This window comes from Homo sapiens, chromosome 8 (genome assembly GCF_000001405.40).
Source record: "Homo sapiens chromosome 8, GRCh38.p14 Primary Assembly".
In the NCBI taxonomy this organism is placed as follows: Eukaryota; Metazoa; Chordata; class Mammalia; order Primates; family Hominidae; genus Homo; species Homo sapiens.
In genome coordinates, this window is record NC_000008.11 from 63,458,030 (window position 1) to 63,477,521 (window position 19,492).

Sequence of the window (19,492 nt, forward strand, 5' to 3'; positions counted from 1 at the left end):
TTGGATTCTCTGCTTTTTATTTTTACTGTGTACATTACAGGTTTTTGCTTTGTGCTTACCATGAGGCTTACAAAAACATCCTATAGTTATAATAGGCTGTTTTTAAGCTGATAACAACTGCTATGGTTTGGATATGGTTTGAGTTTTTTTCCCACCCAAACTCCTGTTGAAGTTTAATGCCCAATGTGGCCATGTTGACAGGTGGGCCCACTGGGTCTAGCAGGAGGTGTTTTAGTCATTGGGATAGATCCCTCATGAACGGCACAGTGCCATTCTCACCATAGTGAATTATTGCTCTGGCAAGACTGGATTAGTTCCAGTGGAAATGGATTAGTTATTGCGAGAGTTGGTTGTTAAAAAGCCAGGATGCTTCTCATTGCACATGTCCACATCCCCTTTGACTTTCTCCACCATGTTATGATGCAGCACAAAAGCCCTCACCAGAAGCCAAGGCCATAACCTTGAGCTCCACAGCCTGCTGAACTATGAGCTAAATAAAACTTTTTTCTTTATAAAAGACCCATCACAGTTATTCTGTTATAGCAACATGAAACTAAGATAACAACTTAACTTTGTTTCCAAAAGGATTCTACACTTCAACTCCACTTTTCCTCACATTTTGTATTTTTAATATCACAATTTACATCTTTTTATATTCCATATCCCTTAGCAAATTATCAATAATTATTGTTTTTAATAGTTTTGTCTTTTAATTTTTGTACTAAAGATACAAATGATTTACATAACACCATTACATTATTAAAGTATTCTGAATTTGACTGCATACAGTCAACCTTTAGTATCTGCGGTAAATTGGTTCCATAAGCCCCCCGTGGATACCAAAATCCAGGGATGCTCAAGTCCTGGAGTCACGTGGGATGCAGAACCCACGGATGCAAAACATTGTCCCTCTGTATTGGTGGATTCTGTATTACATGAACACTATATTTTGATCAACAGTTGGTTGAATTTGTGAAGGGGGAATCCACAAATACAAAAGACTGACTGCATTTACTTTCATCAGTGAGTTTTCTACTTTCAGATGCTTTCATGTTACTCACTGGTGCCCTTTCTTCAGCTTGAAGTACTTCCTGTATCATTTCTTGTAAGACATGTCTAGTGGTAATGAACTTCTTCAGTTTTTGTCTGGCTGGGAAAGTCTTTATCTCTGAAGAACAGCTCTGCTAGATACAGTATTTTTGGTTGGCAATTTGTTCCTTCGGCACTCTAAAATATCCCACTTTCTCTTGCCCTGTAAGGTCTCTGCTGAGAAATCCTCTGTAGCCTTATAAGAACTTCCTTATATGTGTTTTTTTTCTCTTGCTACTTTCAGGATCATCTTTTTGTCTTTGATCTTTGATAGTTTGATGAATAATATGTCATAGGGTAATGTTATTTGGATTGAATCTGATTGGTGACCTTTGACCTTCCTGTACATTGATATCAATGTCTTTCTCTGGATCTGGAAAGTTTTCTGCTATTATTTCTTCAATTAAGCTTCCTACCATTTTATCTTTCTCTCCTCCTTCTCAAACACCAATGACTTTTGATGCTGCCCCATAAATCCTGTAAGCTTTCTTCATTTCTTTTCACTCTTTTCTCTTTTGACCATATATTTTCACATAGCCCTTCTGAGTTTACATATTCTTTTGCTTGATCAACTCTGCAGTTGATGCTATTTCATTTTTAATTTTATTCATTATATTATTTTAGCTCGATAATTTGATTTTTAAAATTGTTTCAGTATCTGATGAATTTCTGAATTGTTTCTCTATATTACTGAAGTTCTTTGAGCTTCCTTAAAACAGCTATTTTGAATTCTTTGTTAGAGAGTTCATATATCTCCACCTCTTTATGATGACATCTTATTTTGCCCAATTGATGATGTCATGCTTCCTTGAATGTTCTTGATCCTTGTTGTAGGTTAATGAATGCACATTGAAGAAGTAGGCACTTACTCCAGCCTTCGCAGTCTGGCTTTGCCTGGGAATATCCTTCAACAGTAAACCTGTCCAGAAATTCTAGGCAGGTCATTTGTTGCGGTGACTGAGCCTGTGCCTGCTGGAGCAATTTCAGCTTTAGAGGGTATCCTAAGTCCAGGACCATTATGGCTGGTTGCATTGCTCGACTGGAATTCTCTGGCCACTGAAGCTGGCATAGCACTGGTCTGGAAGCCAAGCCCCCAGCTGCCGAGTTCTGCCTGTCACCGTGGGTTAGTTATTTGGAGCCCAAGGTCACTAAAGTTGGCTGGCATTGATGCGAGCTGGAACTTAAGTTTATTTTGTAGGTACTATGGGTTCCCCTCTGGTGCCAGAGCAAGTCTAGAGACTCAGTCCATGTGTACCAGCTTGGAGTCAGGGGCTGTGGGGATCTCGTAGTACTGAGTTTTACTATGGTGAGACAGTATTTGAGGCTGGTGCAAAGTCCTACACTTTACTTTCCTCTCTCTTCCGTAAGTGGATGGTACCTCTCTCCATGCTGTGCTGCCTGGAGTTGGGTAAGGAGTGACATGGGTAATGTTAAATTGTCCTGCCTACCCTCTCCAACATGTCTTTCTCTTTCTCTCCAAGAATTCTCCATATTGATTTGTTGGAATCCTTTACATTAAGAAAATCAGTTTTTTGTTTTTGTTTTTGTTTTTGTTTTTGTTTGAGACAGAGTCTCGCTTTGTCGCCCAGGCTGGAGTGTAGTGGCATGATCTTGGCTCACTGGAACTTCCACCTCCAGGGTTCAAGTGATTCTCCTGCTCAGCCTCCCGAGTACCTGGGACTACAGGTGCCTGCCACCATGCCTGGCTAATTTTTGTATTTTTAGTAGAAATGAGGTTTCGCCATATTGGCCAGGCTGGTCTCGAACTCCTGATCTTGTGATCTGCCTGCCTTGGCCTCCCAAAGTGCTGGGCTTACAGGCGTGAGCCACCATGCCCAGCCAGAAAATCAACATTTTAAGTGTCATATAAGTTATGCTTTTTTCCAGTTTGGTGTTTAACTTTTGACTTTACTTATTTTTTATATATATATATATATATATATATATATATACACACACACACACACACACACAAATACACACAAGATATACATTTATGTATTTGTAACATATATAAATATATAGTTATTATTTTTAATATATAGTTTTTACATTGCTGAATTTATCTTTTCTGTCATGTGTTCTAGCTGTTTTTATTCAGAGGTGACAAAAAATTTTTTATGATAGTTTCTTTCTTGTTCATTTATCGTTTTACTTATTTATTTTTAGTTTGTGATCCATTTAAACTTTATCCTGTTTTAATGTGTGAGGGACAGATCCAACTTATTTTTTTGGATCAGAACTTCTAGTTATCCCAACCCTATTTATTGAATAATCCATCTTTATACAAGAAATTTTTCAATAATATGAATTCCCAGGAGCCACCCTTAAATATTATTTAGTAAATATTGTTAACATACCAAAAGGAAGTCCCAGTCTATTTAGAGGTACAGCCATGTTTATGAATCACAGCAAGAAGGTTCATCTGGAAGTGAAGGTGAGAGTATGCTTTTTAATGAATGTTATCCAAATGACTGGCTGGAAGCTTACTCTTAATTTGGGGAGAAGACAGCTGCTTTCCAGAAATGGTTTGGTAATATATTTGCCTGGATTGATTTTTATTGATAAGATATGATATCAGCAAACTTACATGCTTCCTGATCTCCCCTCAAACAGTTCTTTGGGCTTTACATAGGAGATATGAGTAGGTTTACCTTTTTATTTAAGCATATTGTTTTGCATGTTGGGTTATATTTTTCTCCTCTGAAAAACAAAAATGTCCTTCTTTCAGGGAAAAATACAGTTTACCAGACTCTGTTTCCTAGGAAATTGGAAAAGGTCTACACTTATGAGATCATGCTTGAGTTCAACCATGAATACAATTAAATGAATGAACCCTGTGGCATTTTGATTATCTCGTGCTGTCCCTTAGTATCCCTTACTGGCAGCAAAAGGAAGAACAAGTATTGTCTGAGTTAGGACCAGTTTCTGGGTAGGCAGAGTTGGAGATTTGAGAAGACTCACTGACACACAAGATTGCTTTCTCACTAGCTTGCCAGAGAGCCCAAACATTCATCCTTAGACAATTCTTTTTTATATTGGGTATCGCAATAAATTTATATTAATGAAAAACAGGAGTTTATCCACTTGCTTACTAGGAGGCGTTCTAGTTGAGTATTAATATCATCAGTTAACAGCAAGTTACTTCTCAATTCTAACTTCACATCAGAATGCTTGGGAAGTTTTTAAAAATACTGATGCTTAGACTCCTTCCATGAATTCAAACCACTCAAAGTCAGGACCTCTGATCTCAAGTCCAGGGATTTCTCCTCTTTATTATGAACTCATTTGAAATAGCAAACTGGACAAAAGAAAGTGTGGACGGGAAGGAGGTGAGGGAAAAGGTCTGATTTTAAGGCATGAAAATAGTACTAGAGACTCAGGGGGTTCCAAGAGATGGCCGAAGGTGCTAAACAGGGCAGGGAAAGGTTACTGAAGATAGATCTCACATTGAAATACATTTATTTTCTGTATCTAGAAGGGCAAGTAGAACATTGCTACATCTTGTGTGGCTCAGATAATTGCTCCTTTTCCAGGGGAAAAGTGTAGACTTTTCAGAGGAAAATGCTGATGTTCTCTCTGCTTTTTTCTTTTAAATGATGTGCTTCTTTAAGGCCTTGACCTTTCCCCACATATAGGCCTGTAAATACTGAGAGGCTTTTTAATGCCATAGTTCTAAGGACTTGTTTGGGTTTTCGGCAGGGCCAGTGCCTCCCATTTCCTTCAGGAAAAATAATGAAATCTTGCTAATTCATAATTCGCAGGCTAGAATATTTTCTAAGATTTCAGATGCTATAAACAAAGGCTTAGCTTGGCTTTCCAGCTTACATTTATAAGGAAGTCTCTAAAGCGTTTGCAAACACTACTTGGGCCTAAGAAACAGTTTAAATCGTGTCATTCCTGGCAGGTCATTGCCTTGCTCTGAGGATAAATTCGATGCTGTGTGCTGAGTAAACATTTATATCACACAATCATAAGCATTTAACGAAGCTGTTTTTGATTTTAAATGCTGGCTACTTATTAGATATGTACCTCATTAGATATGTAACTCATGCTGAGACGCATATTCAGAGTTGAGCTTGAGCTGAACTTCTGGACTAAGCCCTTAGCTTCCCTTTGTGCAGAGCTGGGGGAAGCTGTAGTGGAAGCCCAGGCAGGCTTCTGCAGGCATGGAGGTAGTGACTTACCTTGGCCTGGGATAAGGCTGGAGCAGTTTCTCTCTCCCAATCCTCTCCTACATTTTCCTAAAGCTACACCACCTCCAATTTTTGTTTTTTCTACTTCTGTTTTCACAGGTACCTGAGTCAGTACTGTGAGGCTTCAGCAGTGACTGTCTTCAAAAGCTAGTGTTGGCAGGGTTCGGTGGCAACGGGGGTGGGGGGAATGTTTTTCTTCTTGTTGTTGCCCTATTAACAGTTCCATATCCTTAGCCTACCATAAAAATTGAGGGACCTTATCAAACTTATGAAATGCTGGAAATGATGCATCACAGCATCTAGGACTGATTGATACTGCTTGGGTCTGTCATTTTTCACTTTGTTCCAATGTAAACACCATTTGTAGAGGTGGCAAAATGCAGCCCCTTAACAGAATTATGTGTTAAAGAATAGAATAGTAAACATGGGAGTAAATTCATTTAAAAACAAAAACATTCACATTTGAGAAAATTTTTATAAGGTTCATCTTTAATAATCTTTTCTCTATTCATGATTGCTTTTTGCAGTTAGTGTTTAAAGTTAGTATACATATGTCTCTCATTCAATTGTGAAATATGAAGGTAATTTTGTTAAGTTTTTGTATCTCCAGTCTCAAATGTGCAGCTTGACAGATAAAAAGTGCTCAACAATTGTCTAGTCAAAGAGTAAGTGTAAGGCGGAACTGGCAGGCATTTTAATGTTTTGGATTCTGAAGGCTGAATTTTGGACACAACTACAAGCCCCTCGATGCTCCCTGTACGATGGTTGAAAAAGTTGACACAGTGCCTGGCAGGGATAAGCTACTCAATTACTTCTAACTATTCACACGATAATTTCTCGGTTGCATACCATGTGCAGGCATTTGGCCCAGGCACCTTCTGTGCTTTATTTCATTGAGTCATATCAACAGCTATGAGTCTGTAAAGTGGGTCTTTTCCTTGTTTCCTTGGACGTTAAACTGAGACCTAAAGAAACACAATCTAATGGACACACAGTTGTTAAGGGGCAAAACCAGAATTCAGTGTGTGAACATAGGAGTTGAGGAGAACTCCTGCTTGGTTCTTTTGCATTCTCCAGTTTCTAAAAGCCTCCAAAGCCTTTTGTCCCTGAAGGCCAGAGAAAGGAAAGAGAAGGATGGGGCGGGATGGGTGAGGGGTTCTCAATGGCCTCTGATTAATTTTAGTCCCTGTGCTTACCAGTTGCACTTCTCATTGTCTTTCCCTAGCTGGTTGTCAGTGACTTTCAAAATATAACTTAACGGGAACATTTGAGAAATTACTTGGAGAGAGATAATCTATAGAATGTGATGTAATTATTGCTCACTGCAGGGCTGCCCCGAGGAGTGACAAGGGTGTGTATTGAGGCAGCTTGTGAAGAGGACTTGAACGCTGTACCAGCTGCATATCCCTGGCTTCCTCCCAAGAGCTCCTGATGGGATATTCTCCATGATTTCTAAGACCACCTGGAGTTATTAGTCCCTTGAGGACCCCCATAAGATGCTTTATTATCCTTTCGTTTGCTCCCCAGGTGCTTTAACTCAGATCCTCATTCATTGTGAGATTGGAAAAACATGCACGTGCAGGTCTTGTCTTAGGTAGCAATAAAATGCTATTACTAGGTCCCCAAATGTAAATGACACAGGCAACTATTTCATAACATCAATAAATCTAATGTCTGTGTAATCCGAAACCAGAGATCCGAACTTTACCTTTGGGCTAACTCAAAATCTGTATCATTGCAGTCATTAGAAACCAGTTTTTATTCCTTGTCTTATTGAAGAGACTGCTGTTGATAGTTTCTAATTTTTAAATAATGAGTTTTTCTTTTTAGATATAAGCCATGAGACAACTTTAAAAGTTTGTTTCTGAGGAGGTAAGAGTTGAATTTAAAACAACAAATGAAGCCTTTGCATCACTAGCATTCTTTTCCATGTGTATTATCCAACACTGCAATGTTAGAAATATTTTTGAAAGTGTTTTTGTAAAAAAATGTATTTCTAAAAAAAGAGCATCAGTGAGAAAGAAATGAATTTATGTAAAAAGCTTTTCAAATAAAAGTGTAAAAATTTTCACTTAGGGCACACAAATAAAATAATTGTCTGAGAATATGGTCATTTTCAGTAATATGACACTAACAATTTCTAACTGTATCTCTATGTAGGGTTTAAATTTTTTTATGAACACGAATTCATTATAGAACAAATTACTGCATTTAAGAGAAACATCAAAAGCTGACTATTTATTTACTTTTACCAGTTATTCTTCCTCCGTGGAAATTATGCTTCTGAATATAGTGAATAAAACCAGAGGTGATTACATTGATTTTGACTTAGTGCTATTTTCAACATAATAATATTTCTTATGGGATAGAGAGCATAAAAGGGAAGGCAAAGGGAAGAAAATCACCTTTGCATTTCCACTGTGTCAGCAGGTCATGCATTTGATGTGTTACGTCATAATGCAAAAATTAGCTGGGCATGGTGGCGGGTGCCTGTAATCCCAGCTATTCATGAGACTGAGGCAGAGAATTGCTTGAACTCTGGAGGTGGAGGTTGCAGTGAGCTGAGATCATGCCACTGCACTCCAGCCTGGGTGACAGAGTGAGACTATGTCTCAAAAAAAGAAAGAAAGAAAGAAAGAAAAATTTGAAGTATAGAGGGGAATCACAAAAATTCTAAATGGTAGTAAGTATTAAGTCCAAAATAGTATAAATAAAATTGAAATTTAGGATAGGGTTTGATAATAGTTTGTATGTTTTAACTAAAAGTTAAAATTTAAGATGTATAAATATAATAATTTCCATACAACATAAAGTATTGGCAACCACATAAAGACTAGGGGTAAGTTTCAGGAAAAAAAAATTAGAAAATACCCAAATTAAGCTCCATTTGAATTGTAAGATCAATGATATTTTGGTTAAAATGCAGATGCTTTTAGTCATCTTTTGGGTCCCTTCCCAAATCTGTTGAAAGCAATGGAAATTTCCTACCAAAAATATCACATTTTTGCATTAAACATTTTTGGAGTTTTACAGGTTCCCTAAATTCATTAATTCCAGACTTCTTTCATCCTTCTTTTGGGGTTCATGAGGTCAACGTGGAAAATGTCTTTAAGTGTTAACACAGATCTCATTCTTTAAAATATTGCTTGGATGGTTGGACTTTGTTCTTTAGAATTTTGCAAGGCCTGCAAATGTAAACAAATCTTTCATTAGTAGCCTAACTAGAGCAACGTCCATTTTTGAGGAAATATACAACTAGGGGAAAAGAAAGCTATGGAGTTGCAGATTGGAACAGGGCTATAATAAAAGGTCATACTTATATAGTGCTTAAGGATGGTTTCAGTGTATTACAGAATTTTACTTGTTAACCATCACAACCTCACCTTAGGGGAAGTTTTGAGAGGGGTGATAAACTGTCTATCCTTGGCTTTACATCTTGAGGTGGGTTGGAATGGGGCCCTTAGCTGTGGAGCCAAGAAAATGTTATAAGAAAGCTAAAAATTTCATTGCCTGAAATTTTAACGTATTTGGATGTTTAGCTATACACCTGACTAACTAATCAAATTTATTAGATTTCTATGAGGTGTAAGGCATTGAGTGACATAAAGGTAAACCAACTTGTGGACCAGGTGGTGACTGTTTTTTATTTTTGCTTTTTGGCAGCATCCATATGCTCCTCTATTTTTGAGTAATAAGCACTGGAATTGCATTATTAAAATTTAAAATTACAGAAAATTTCAATAGGACATTAACAGTTTTTTTAAGGTGAATTTCTGGATTATGTCCCTCAGTGGAAAAAAATATGTTTTCAACATATATATTTGTAGACTCATGTCAGGAACCTGAAAGTCAAGTCTTCACTTCAGCATTGGGAAGTATATGAAACTGTTTTCGGACCACACAACTCTGTGAGCTCATCGCTAAGAATTGGTATGCAAGGTCTTCAGAAGGGTAGGCAATTTGTAAACTCCTTTTGACTTAGCTGGTAAGACAGAAAGTTCTTTTTTCATGGCTAAATGATACTTGAGAAAAGAAAAAATGTGGTGAAGCTGAATGTATCTAGTTGAAATAAAAATGCCTACCTTTCTCCTGCATAGGCAAAATATACTACTTACAAGAAAAAAAGGAATTTATGAATAGAAATAGAATCAGGTCACAGTGCATTTCCTAATTCTCCACTGGATTTTATTACTCAAGCACTGTATTTTTACCTTTTATCATAGCTGTCATTCGTCCTTGTACTTTAGATAGCAGCTTATCAACCCTTGTTATATCCTTACCTTCTTTAGGGTGATGATCTTATCTTTATTTTTGACCACACTTCCTGTGCCTGCCCCTTTTCTTACATCAATTTCTGTTCCACTTGGGATTTTGTACTCACAGATGTGACATGAATATTTATGAGATTAAAGTGAATGGTCCAACATCAATTCAGAAAAATTTTGATCCATTCGTCCAAATTATTTAAAATATTCCCTTTCTAATTGAGGCAGCAAGGCCTCTAGCTTAGTGCTCATTTTCCCTCTCTAAGCATATTCATGCCATTAGGGTATTAATTTCTTCTAAACTAAAGCTCTTATCTCCTCATAATTCATTATGTCTGTTTTTGATTCGCACTATCATTGTGGTCTCTCAACTTACTCCCGTTAACACAGTCATTTTGGTGGCTTTTATAATACCTCCTCTGTTGTTCTTCAAATTTTGCCTAAATAGGCAATAACTTAAATGAAAAAGTGTTCATGAGTGAGCCAGTGAGCTCAGAAATTTGGAACCTTTTTGCCATGGAGGGTGATGGTGAGCTTAGTGATAACAAGAATTTCCCAATTATGGCATCTACCTTTCTAATCATCTCTCCTTCCATGTGATACTGTTTTTATATAGTTTGTTTTGCCTGCCTCCCTCCCTTCCCATCTCTCTTCTTTCCTCCCTTCCTTCTCTCCTTTCCTTCCACTCTTCTTTCCTTTATGGGAAAAACCATTCTAAATCCTTCAAATTGTGGTTTGAGTTTACAGTCTTTTATTGAAATTACATGTTGGTATGCTAGGAGTATATGAAAGCTTTTTTTCCAATTTGCAAAGAATGTTTATATGATTTTATTATTTTTATATGATTTTTGTATTAAAATCATCCCAGATATCCCCAAAATAGAATGCAAAGTTTACATTTTAAATTTACTTTGAAATTTTAAATAAATTTTCTTCTAAGTTGTCTTTGGATTACATATCCAGACAGATTGGAGGCATCAAAATACTTCCCACTCCTTTTTCAATGTTGTTAGGGATATTGCTATGACATTTTTGAGAAGTATTCGAAACAACTCTATTAAGATAAGCTCCTTTTCTTTATTGTCTTCATCTTATATCTCTGGCTGTCAATGAAATTCTATCATTTCCCACTCAAAGCCCAATTGATCTCTGGAAGGAGGTGGGGTGTGCCCTTGTATGAGCTCTTAAGAATTTATTTAGCATTTTTTTCTAGCTCTTCCATCAGTGAAATCAAGATGGTAGCTGAAATTTACCACGGTGGAGGATATTTACATCACAGAAATTGGCAAAGGCTACAAATAAGTTTAATTTTTTTTTTTTTAGAACTCGTTAAGTATGTACCAGCACACCCTGTAAGGTTGATTGATGCTTGATCTAGGTGTCTTCCGTATGCTTTGTGTGTTACTCCTGTGGCTTTACCAGCTATTATGCATTAGTCTCTGGGGATAAGGGAAGTAATAAACCTTTGTCCCAGGTCTCATAAATAGCTTGGTTATTAATCAAATGATCATTTGGTCTGGCTTCCTTTGTTCGGTCCTATGCTTGTAAGTATGGATGTGTTAGCTCTAGACAGAACCATAGATAAGGGAGCTAAAGCCCAGAGTGATTAATGACTTACAAGGTCACAATTCTAGTTAGAGGGAAAGATGCTGGGACAAGAATCTGGGTTTTCTGAGTCCCAGGTAGGTTTTGTTGCTGTTATACAACTCTCTAATAATTTTCAAAAAATCCTAAATCATAAATATTCCATTGTAATAAGCTTCAGAAAGCATTGCAAGCCACAGATTTAGCTCTAATACTATTAATCTTTGCTTTTTTTCTAATCTAAAAACTAGGATACATTAAGAAAAGTAGAAAATGTAAAAATATTGGTAAAAAACCAAAACTCCTAACAAATTAATATATATATGTTAAGAGAGACATACGTTTAAACAATTTACTATCATCTGTCAACTTTTAAAGGAATGCCTGGATGTAGCTCTTATGACTTTCAATCGAAGTGACACAATTTTTCCAGTAATTTTAACTGTTTCTCCCAGCTTGCTTGTTAAAGAAATCTGTAACATCTTTAGCAAGAAACAGAAAGACAGAGGGCAGCATGGGACCAGAGTGCAGCTGTCCTTCAGAAGAACCTGACTGTACAACTTGCACATCTGAAGAGGTAGCCAAGAAAATAGAGAAAAGAATGGGAAGTGGATCTACCCACATCCTCTCCCATCCCCTCCAGAAAGAAATGCAGCATCTCTTTCTCATTGTTTAAGAAGAAAAGGGGGATCTCGGAGACAAAGCCAATGAAGAATAAATGAGTGCTCTGCCAGTTCAAAGTCAATGTGAAGATTGGATGGGGAAGCGTGCGGAGCTCAGAAGGTATTATTTTTAGAGGGTGCAAACAAGAGAACTTGCCTGGCAGAAGGGTTTGTGCAGGCTCTTCCAGCCCCAGTAATTGGATAGGTTTGGCAGACTGAAAGAGGGGCTCGTGGTTCCTGATGAATGCTCCACTTGTGCCCGGGTGTGATTTAGCGTGCTGCTGAATAAACACAACACAGGGAAGGGAAGGTGAAAACTACCAGTCTCAGCAGAAAGAGAGAGGCTATAAATATGCCAGGGGGTCAATAGGAGTGATTTCATTCTGCCTGCACAGGACTGCTGATGAGGTCTGACGGGGCAGCGCCACTTCATTAATGCATCACAATGGTGAAGAGCACCTGAAGCAGCAGCAGCAGCAGCAGCAGCAGTCACCTACCTAGGCTGCAGCTATCAGCAAGGCCAGCCCAGAGAAAGAAAGGCAACAATAGACCAACAAAGATGCCATAGGCCACGCCTTCCTGCTTTATCCTCCTCCTGTATCCCTTCATTCTTCTTCTCCTCTTTCCTCCCCTCCCAAACTCCTTCCTTCCCTCATTCCTCCACTTTCATCTCTTTGCTATTTCTAGAAAGAATCTTTTGTCTTGCTAGGCAGAGCATTTATAACAAAGGAAAGACAGGAGGTGTAGATGATGAAGCAGAGTAGAGCACTTTTAACTGCAAGAGTGTTAGGATATGAACACTGCTGTTAGGATAGAAAAGAGAAAATCCTCAGAGTATGTATGCTGGATTGTTTAGAGGGGAAAAGTCTTTCTATGGAAATCACCTATAAAACAGTTCAGAAATGGAAATAAAGCTATTTTGCTGCAAGTAGCTTTTTATTTTTTCTTCCAGAAATAACACACAAATGTCCCCAGGCACTTTTCACTTAGCCCACTGTTCATGGCTCCTTTCCCAGACTCAGGTGCTTCTCTTTTCCCATTGCTCCCAGACATCCATTTGCCCATTGACATTCTACCTCCATTGCCAAGGCCAGAGAACATAACGCGTGCTCACTCTTCCACTTAGCTCCTTTAGGCTCTGTCCTTGTCTGGCTGAGTCTGACAAATGGACGGGCAGCCCTGCCACCCTGATTGCTCGGTCATCTGAACCACAGTTTCTGATTTCTGCATGATGGATCTGGCTGTGGCTGGTCCAGAGAATTGGAAAGAAAAAATAATTATAAAATAAATTTAATAGTTCTCCTTGGCATCTTTCTCTTTTTCTATATTCAGTTAGTGCAGCACTATAGCTATTTACTTCCCCTTTGCAATTTTTGGGAAAGTGAGGAGGTCAAGAAAGAGTTGTAAGGCAAACTGTTGTATATTTCACTGCATGGTCTGCCTTTCATAGTTACAATTATGTCAAGACTATACATCACTATGAATAATGTATTATGAACAAGTATAATAATATTTGTTAGACACAACCATTTCTAGCAATTATTTTGTAAGTAGAAGAAGATAAGCAGATATACAAGTAGTGCCCGTATTGCTTAAAGCAAGGTTTGTTTCCGGATGTCAAAACTTCTAGGCTATAAGATGCTCATTTTTTTTGGCCCACTGACTTGTAGCATGTTTCTAAGTTTCATAAGCTTAATATAGCCCTAATAATTTTTATGTATTTTTGGTGTATGTTTACATACAATAATACTAGTTAAGACTAAAACTTTAAGAGCACTATTTAAAATCATACATTCATGTTGGATTTCATGAGTCCAGGCCTGAATACTGCCTCAACTAATGTTGAATTGATTTTGAACAAAGAACAAGAATTTTGTAACTTGAAGTGTTTTTGTTTTGTTTTGTTTTGGTATCTGAACAAACTATTCAGAAAAATACCCATTAATAAGGAAGTACTTAGAATGGTTTGGCTTGAATTTTGTTTAGTTTTGTCTTGCCTAAATCTGCTTCTAGATTGTGGACTCTCCATGGGAAGTGTCAATGTTACTTGTTTTTATATCCTCCGGTAGGTCTTGCTTGATGTTTGTGTATAATAGGGTATAGAATAATTTTTAGTTAGGTAAAATCTTGATTATATTTTAAGAATTTCAACTTCAGTGAAAACAATATTTAGGTGTATGTGGAGTGGAGAGGGAGGGCAGGCAGGGAAACTCCTAAAAGTATACTTAACTTGATAATAAATATCATTCTAGATTTCTACCAATAGTTCTTTTTATTTTTATTTAAGATGGAAATGTAAGAAATCACAGATGCAAAATCAAGCTAAGAAATGAAAAGATTCCTTAAGAAAAAACAAATGAACAAGGATACTCATCATGTAAATAATGAATAAATGAGCATTTTCCAGTGTATGAGTGATAAGTGATGAAACAGTAGCTGGAATTTCTACTTTACAAATACAAAATGAGCAAAAGGAAATATAATTGATAATTGTCTTTGTCTTATAAGCTTTGGAAATGACACATATCCCACCCTCCCCCACAGCATTTTTTTTTTCCAGAGCAAGAGAAAATCCAGTGACTGAAAAAGAATAAGAAGAAAAACACTGACCAAGGCAATAATTCCAAGAAGTCAAAAATTAAGGCCTGAGAGGAAGAAGGCAGACTAAAGAAAGTAGGTAAGACAGTGACCTGAACGAAAGTGCTGGCTCCATGCTCTGTGACGTTGGGCGTCCTCACTGACCTCGGAAGCATGGTCTTGGTGACACTGGTCAGGTGCATGAAGTGTTAGAAAATTTTATTAAAGATTCCATGGTTGCATCTCTGCCTTCATGCCTGGATAGTTTTTTCTCCTCCTTCTTTCACTCCCAGTCCATAACTTGCCAATCCATTTCTATAACCTCTTTAAATATAAATAAAGTCTGACCATTGTGAATAGACCCACTTTTTATATAATGAAGAGGAAGTTAGGGATATGCTGAGTTTTTGTTTCATTGTTGTTAGTAATTTAAGATATCCCTTGGTGTTTTCTCCATGTTTCTTGCTGGTTTCATTGCAACTAAGTATTTCCTCTGTCCCCTACTCTCTTTCCTCTCCTTTGAGAACTCCAATTTCATTAGGCCTATCCCACCCCTCCAGTGGGCCATCTGAAGGTGTTTCAGACCTCACTGGTGCTCTACTCATATTCGTTCAAATCTGCTCTTAATCTCATCAAGTATATTTTTCATCTCAGACATCGTAGTTTTCACCTCCAGGTGTTGGATATGGGGTTTTTTTTGTACCTCTTCCATGCCTTTATTCCTCTAGCTTTTGGAACATATGGAATAGAGTTATAATAACTGATTTCATGTCCTTGTCTACTAATTCTCTAACATATGTCAGTTCTTGGTCTCTTTGATTTGTTGATTTTTCTCCTCATTATCAATTGTATTTTCTAGCTTTTTTTCATGCCTGATAATTTTTGACAGGGTGTGAATTTTATCTTATTGGGTCCTGAGTAGGTTTTTCGTCCCACAGATCTTCTTGAGCTTTGTTCTGGGATGCCTTTAAGTTATTTAAAACTGGGTGGGATCCTTTCAAGTATTGCTTTTAAGCTTTGTTAGGTGAGTCTAGAACTGCAATTAATCTAGCATTAATTTCGCCCTGTTTGTGAGGCAAGACCCTTCAGGGTGCTTTATCTAATGCTCTGTGAATCATGAGGATTTCCAGTCTGACTGGGGGAAGTGGGGGTAGGGTGGGTGGGAAGGCACCATTCTTGACCCTGTGTAAGCTCTGGGTAATTTTCCCTCTAATCCTCTCAGATGGTTCTATCTCTGGCCTAGCATACTTTCCTCACATACATGAGCTGATCAGTGCTTTGCTGAATACTCAGGGGAGCCCCTCTGCAGATCACTGGAGTTCTCTCTCTGTATAACTCTCTCCTCTCCAGTACTCTGTTCTTCAAACTTCAAACTTATTCCCTTGACTCTCACCTTCAACTGTTTACCTCAGAGAGACACTGGGTTCTGCCTGACTCCCCTTCTCTTCTCCATACCTGGAAGCCTCTCTTGAGGAAGAATCTTGAACAGTGATGGGTTTTTTATTTGCTTTCTGCCCTTCAGGGATTCCTAGCCTTTATGACTCGATATCCAGTGTCTTCAAAACTGTTGTTTCATACATTTCCTCCAGTATTTTTGTTGTTCTGGCCAGGAAGCCTTTCAGGTAAAACCAGTCTTTGCTACTCCTTCTTGGCCAGAATGACAAGTCCTTAATTTTCTTATTTTTAAAATGGCTCTTTAGTATTGTTTTTTACTTACCAATGGAGTCGTGAAGATAAAGCAAGATGTATTTTAAAAATGCACTTACCTAACTTATTTATAATCCACTTTCCTTCAAAGATTTTTAGAGATAAAAACACTAACATCAGATAAAAACATAATGCTGAAAAAGTAGATGAAACCAGGGCCAATATCCCAAATGTTTATCTTAAAATTTCATTCAGCTGAAATTTGTTGAATGCTTGCTTTGTTCTAAGACATAGCTGAATAGAGCATACCAATACCGCTCCGCACTGTTGACCAAGGAGGGTGTGCAGGCTTGGTCATGTTCCCAGAATGGCCCAGGAGAGGCCTATGATTACCTGACATCAAGACTGACCTTCTGTAAAGGCTCCTGATAAAGGGGAACCCTGTGATGCAGGCACTGCAGCCCTTACTTCTGTCTAACACTTCTTCCCCCTTGACACCTGTATCAACAATGTGTCACCCTTGAAGTGCTTTAGGTTTTCTTAGGACTCTGTACCTTCACTGTCCTGATACTTCCTCTCTGGATTTCCCTTAGTGCTGCTCACACCTCTTCCAGGAATCCTTTCCTGTTCCCCTCATCAAACTCTGTGCTTGTCTTGAGAGATCCCAGTCTTCAACACTTAACTCTGGCACAGCTTATGTGACCCTGGATTATGAGGGTTTGCTTGTCTGTCTTCACTCCAAACTATGAGCTCCTAACAGGGAGGGATGATCGATTTTTATTCTGTATCCTCAAAGCCTAGGATACAATGGCTGGCACATGATGTATATTAACAATGTTGAATAAACGCACGAAATGAATGAGTTAATCCTAAAATAAATAGAAGAGGCAAAATAAAGGCCTAGTACTGATAAGTTCCCTCAATATTTCTATCATGCCAAAAGCACAGTTCTGGTAAGGCCTATAGCCGTTCAGGCACTCATTTAGCTGATGGCCTGGCAGAAAATGACACATGTGAAAATGTAAGACATTATAATTCTACTGCTTTGAAGTTTTATTTAGGCTGACCCTCTTACTTTATATGGTTCTTTTATAATTTCTTATGCTTATTTAATAATTCTTGCTGTGGACCAACTGTTTGTGTCCCACCGAAATTCATTTGTTGAAGCCTAAAACTCCAATTGGTGGTATTAAGAGGTGGGGCCTTTAGTAGGTAATTAGATTATGAGGATGGAGCTCTCATGAATGGGATTAGTACCCTTATCAGAAGAGGCATGAACAATTATCTCTCTCCACCAGGAAAGATGCAAGGAGAAAGACAGCCATCTGCATACCAGGAAGAGGGCCCTCACCAGACACTGGATCTGCTGCATCCTTGATCTTGGGCTTCCAACCTCTAGAACCATGTGAAATACATTTCTGTTGTTTAAACCACCCCATCTACAGTATTTTGTTAGGGCAGCCCAAGCTGACTCAGATAGCCTTATTACACCTTATTTTAGTAATAATAATCATTTCATTAATAATAAGATCCCTCAAAGTAGCTCCTCCCCTACCAGCACCACCCATTCTTTCTCGTATCTGATGGCCATGCTGATTATCTGGAAGCCATTATGTTGAAGGAGCAACAATTTTAAACCTTGTAGAGTCCTGTGATCTTGGCATCTTCTCTCAATCTGTATGCTTATTCAATCTGCTCTGATGATAACAATTCTCCTGAGGGGAAAATTTAGGAATTGTTTTATTCAAATTACTAAGTTTTTTTTTTTTTTTTTTTTTTGCATAACTGTTAAAGAAAATATTTGTGGGTGATAGAAAATGACTGATTTTACCTTAAAAAAAGATTAAAATGAAGATTAAAAAAAAGTTCCCTTGCCATGAAGGGAACTGGATGTTTTTTCCCATATATAATTAAAAACAGTGGGATAAAGGGGTAAACACTAAGGATGTATATTTATCTCCTCTCCATTTTAGAGAAATGCACTGGGTGATGTAGACAAACAATTTGCCTAATACTGTTATTGAACCTGGTGGGCTGGGCCTGGCCAAAGTCAGCTTTTCCTCCTCTCTCTGGATCAAATTATGGTGATGTAGCTGACATTCAATAAACCCCAAACACAGGCCACGTGCCAGGAGCACTCAGGTTACAAGACATGACCTCCACCTTCAAGACGAGGAGGTAGAATTGCTGGGTCCCTGAGACTGGGGCTTAGTCTGTCTCATTCACTCTTTCATCTCCAGTGCCTACCACAGCACCTTGTCCAGGGTACAAATTTTAATAACAATTTATCAAATGAATAAGTGGATTCTGTCACAGTATAGCAGTGATATTCTGGAAGCTTAACCAAATTAATAAATTATGTGGCCTGACATGCTGGTGTGTGCCTGTAGTCTCAGCTATGTGGGAGGCTAGGTGGGAGGATGGCTTGAATTCAGAAATTTGAGTGTTCAGCCTGGGCAATATATTGAGATGACCTCACTTCTGAAACAAAACAAAATAAAATAAAACACTAAAAACAATAAAGCGAAACACAAATAAATTATGAAGTGAGTATAATTAGTTTTACCAGTGTTGGAATGTGAGGCGAGGAGGTTTCTGAGCGTGACTCCATGGAGCAGGTGAATTGGGGTTTTGAAGGTTGAGTACAAGTTTTTCAGATGAAGTAGAAAGGGGCATTTCAGTGGTTGTTGAGACCAGTGGCAGGTAGACCAGTTAAGGAGCTAGTCTAGTAACCAAAGCAAGTGAGGGTGAAGACCTGGCTGACGGTAGTGTCAGTGGGATTGGAGGAGGAAGAGATTGGGAATTTATATGAGAAAATCAAATAAATGCCACTTTGATGCTGACTGATATGTACAACTGGGTCACTGAGGAGTCAGGGAAGGCTCTGAGGCATCCTGGGAGGGAGGGCACTGCATCAGTTCTGTACTTTCTTCAACTCCACCTAATTTTTCTCTCCCAACTAGGACAAAAGCTTGTTAAGAGGAACTTGACTCTTTGTTCACTGCTGAGTCTTCGGTGCCCAGAACAGATCTTGGCACATGGGCATTCAACTTCTGCAGACTGGATGATTTAGATGTTGCAAATGCCATCTTCAAGGATGCCCATACTTCCTGGATTCTAACTACCTTGATAAAGTTTCATTGCTTTGTTTTTCTTCTGTATTTCAGTATGGAGACCTTCTATGTCCAGACTTAATCAATTTTCTGTACTTGTCCATTCTGCTTCTGCTGGTGTTTTGCAGTAAGCCAGAGGTAAGCAGGATATTGTGGACTATAGGAAGAGGTTAAACAGGTAACTCTGATTAGACTTTCACAATGGGGTCCCTATATTGCATTTACATCGCCATGGAAAGGGCCTTTTATCATAATAATTCTAATAATAACTGGTATTTATTTAGCACCTAGTACGTAGTAGGAACTCTGCTTAGCACTTTATATAAATTATTTCATTTAATCTTTCTAACAACGCTGTA

General features: G+C 38.1%; 1 long non-coding RNA gene across 1 annotated transcript; it reads left to right on the forward strand.

Annotated features, from left to right (window-relative positions):
• The first annotated feature begins 7,819 nt into the window (after window positions 1-7,819).
• Window positions 7,820-17,453, forward strand: LOC102724612 (uncharacterized). Its single transcript, NR_125825.1, has 4 exons — window positions 7,820-7,968; window positions 9,113-11,917; window positions 14,341-14,473; window positions 17,319-17,453. It is a non-coding gene; the product is annotated as an uncharacterized LOC102724612 (long non-coding RNA).
• Window positions 17,454-19,492: the final 2,039 nt, after the last annotated feature.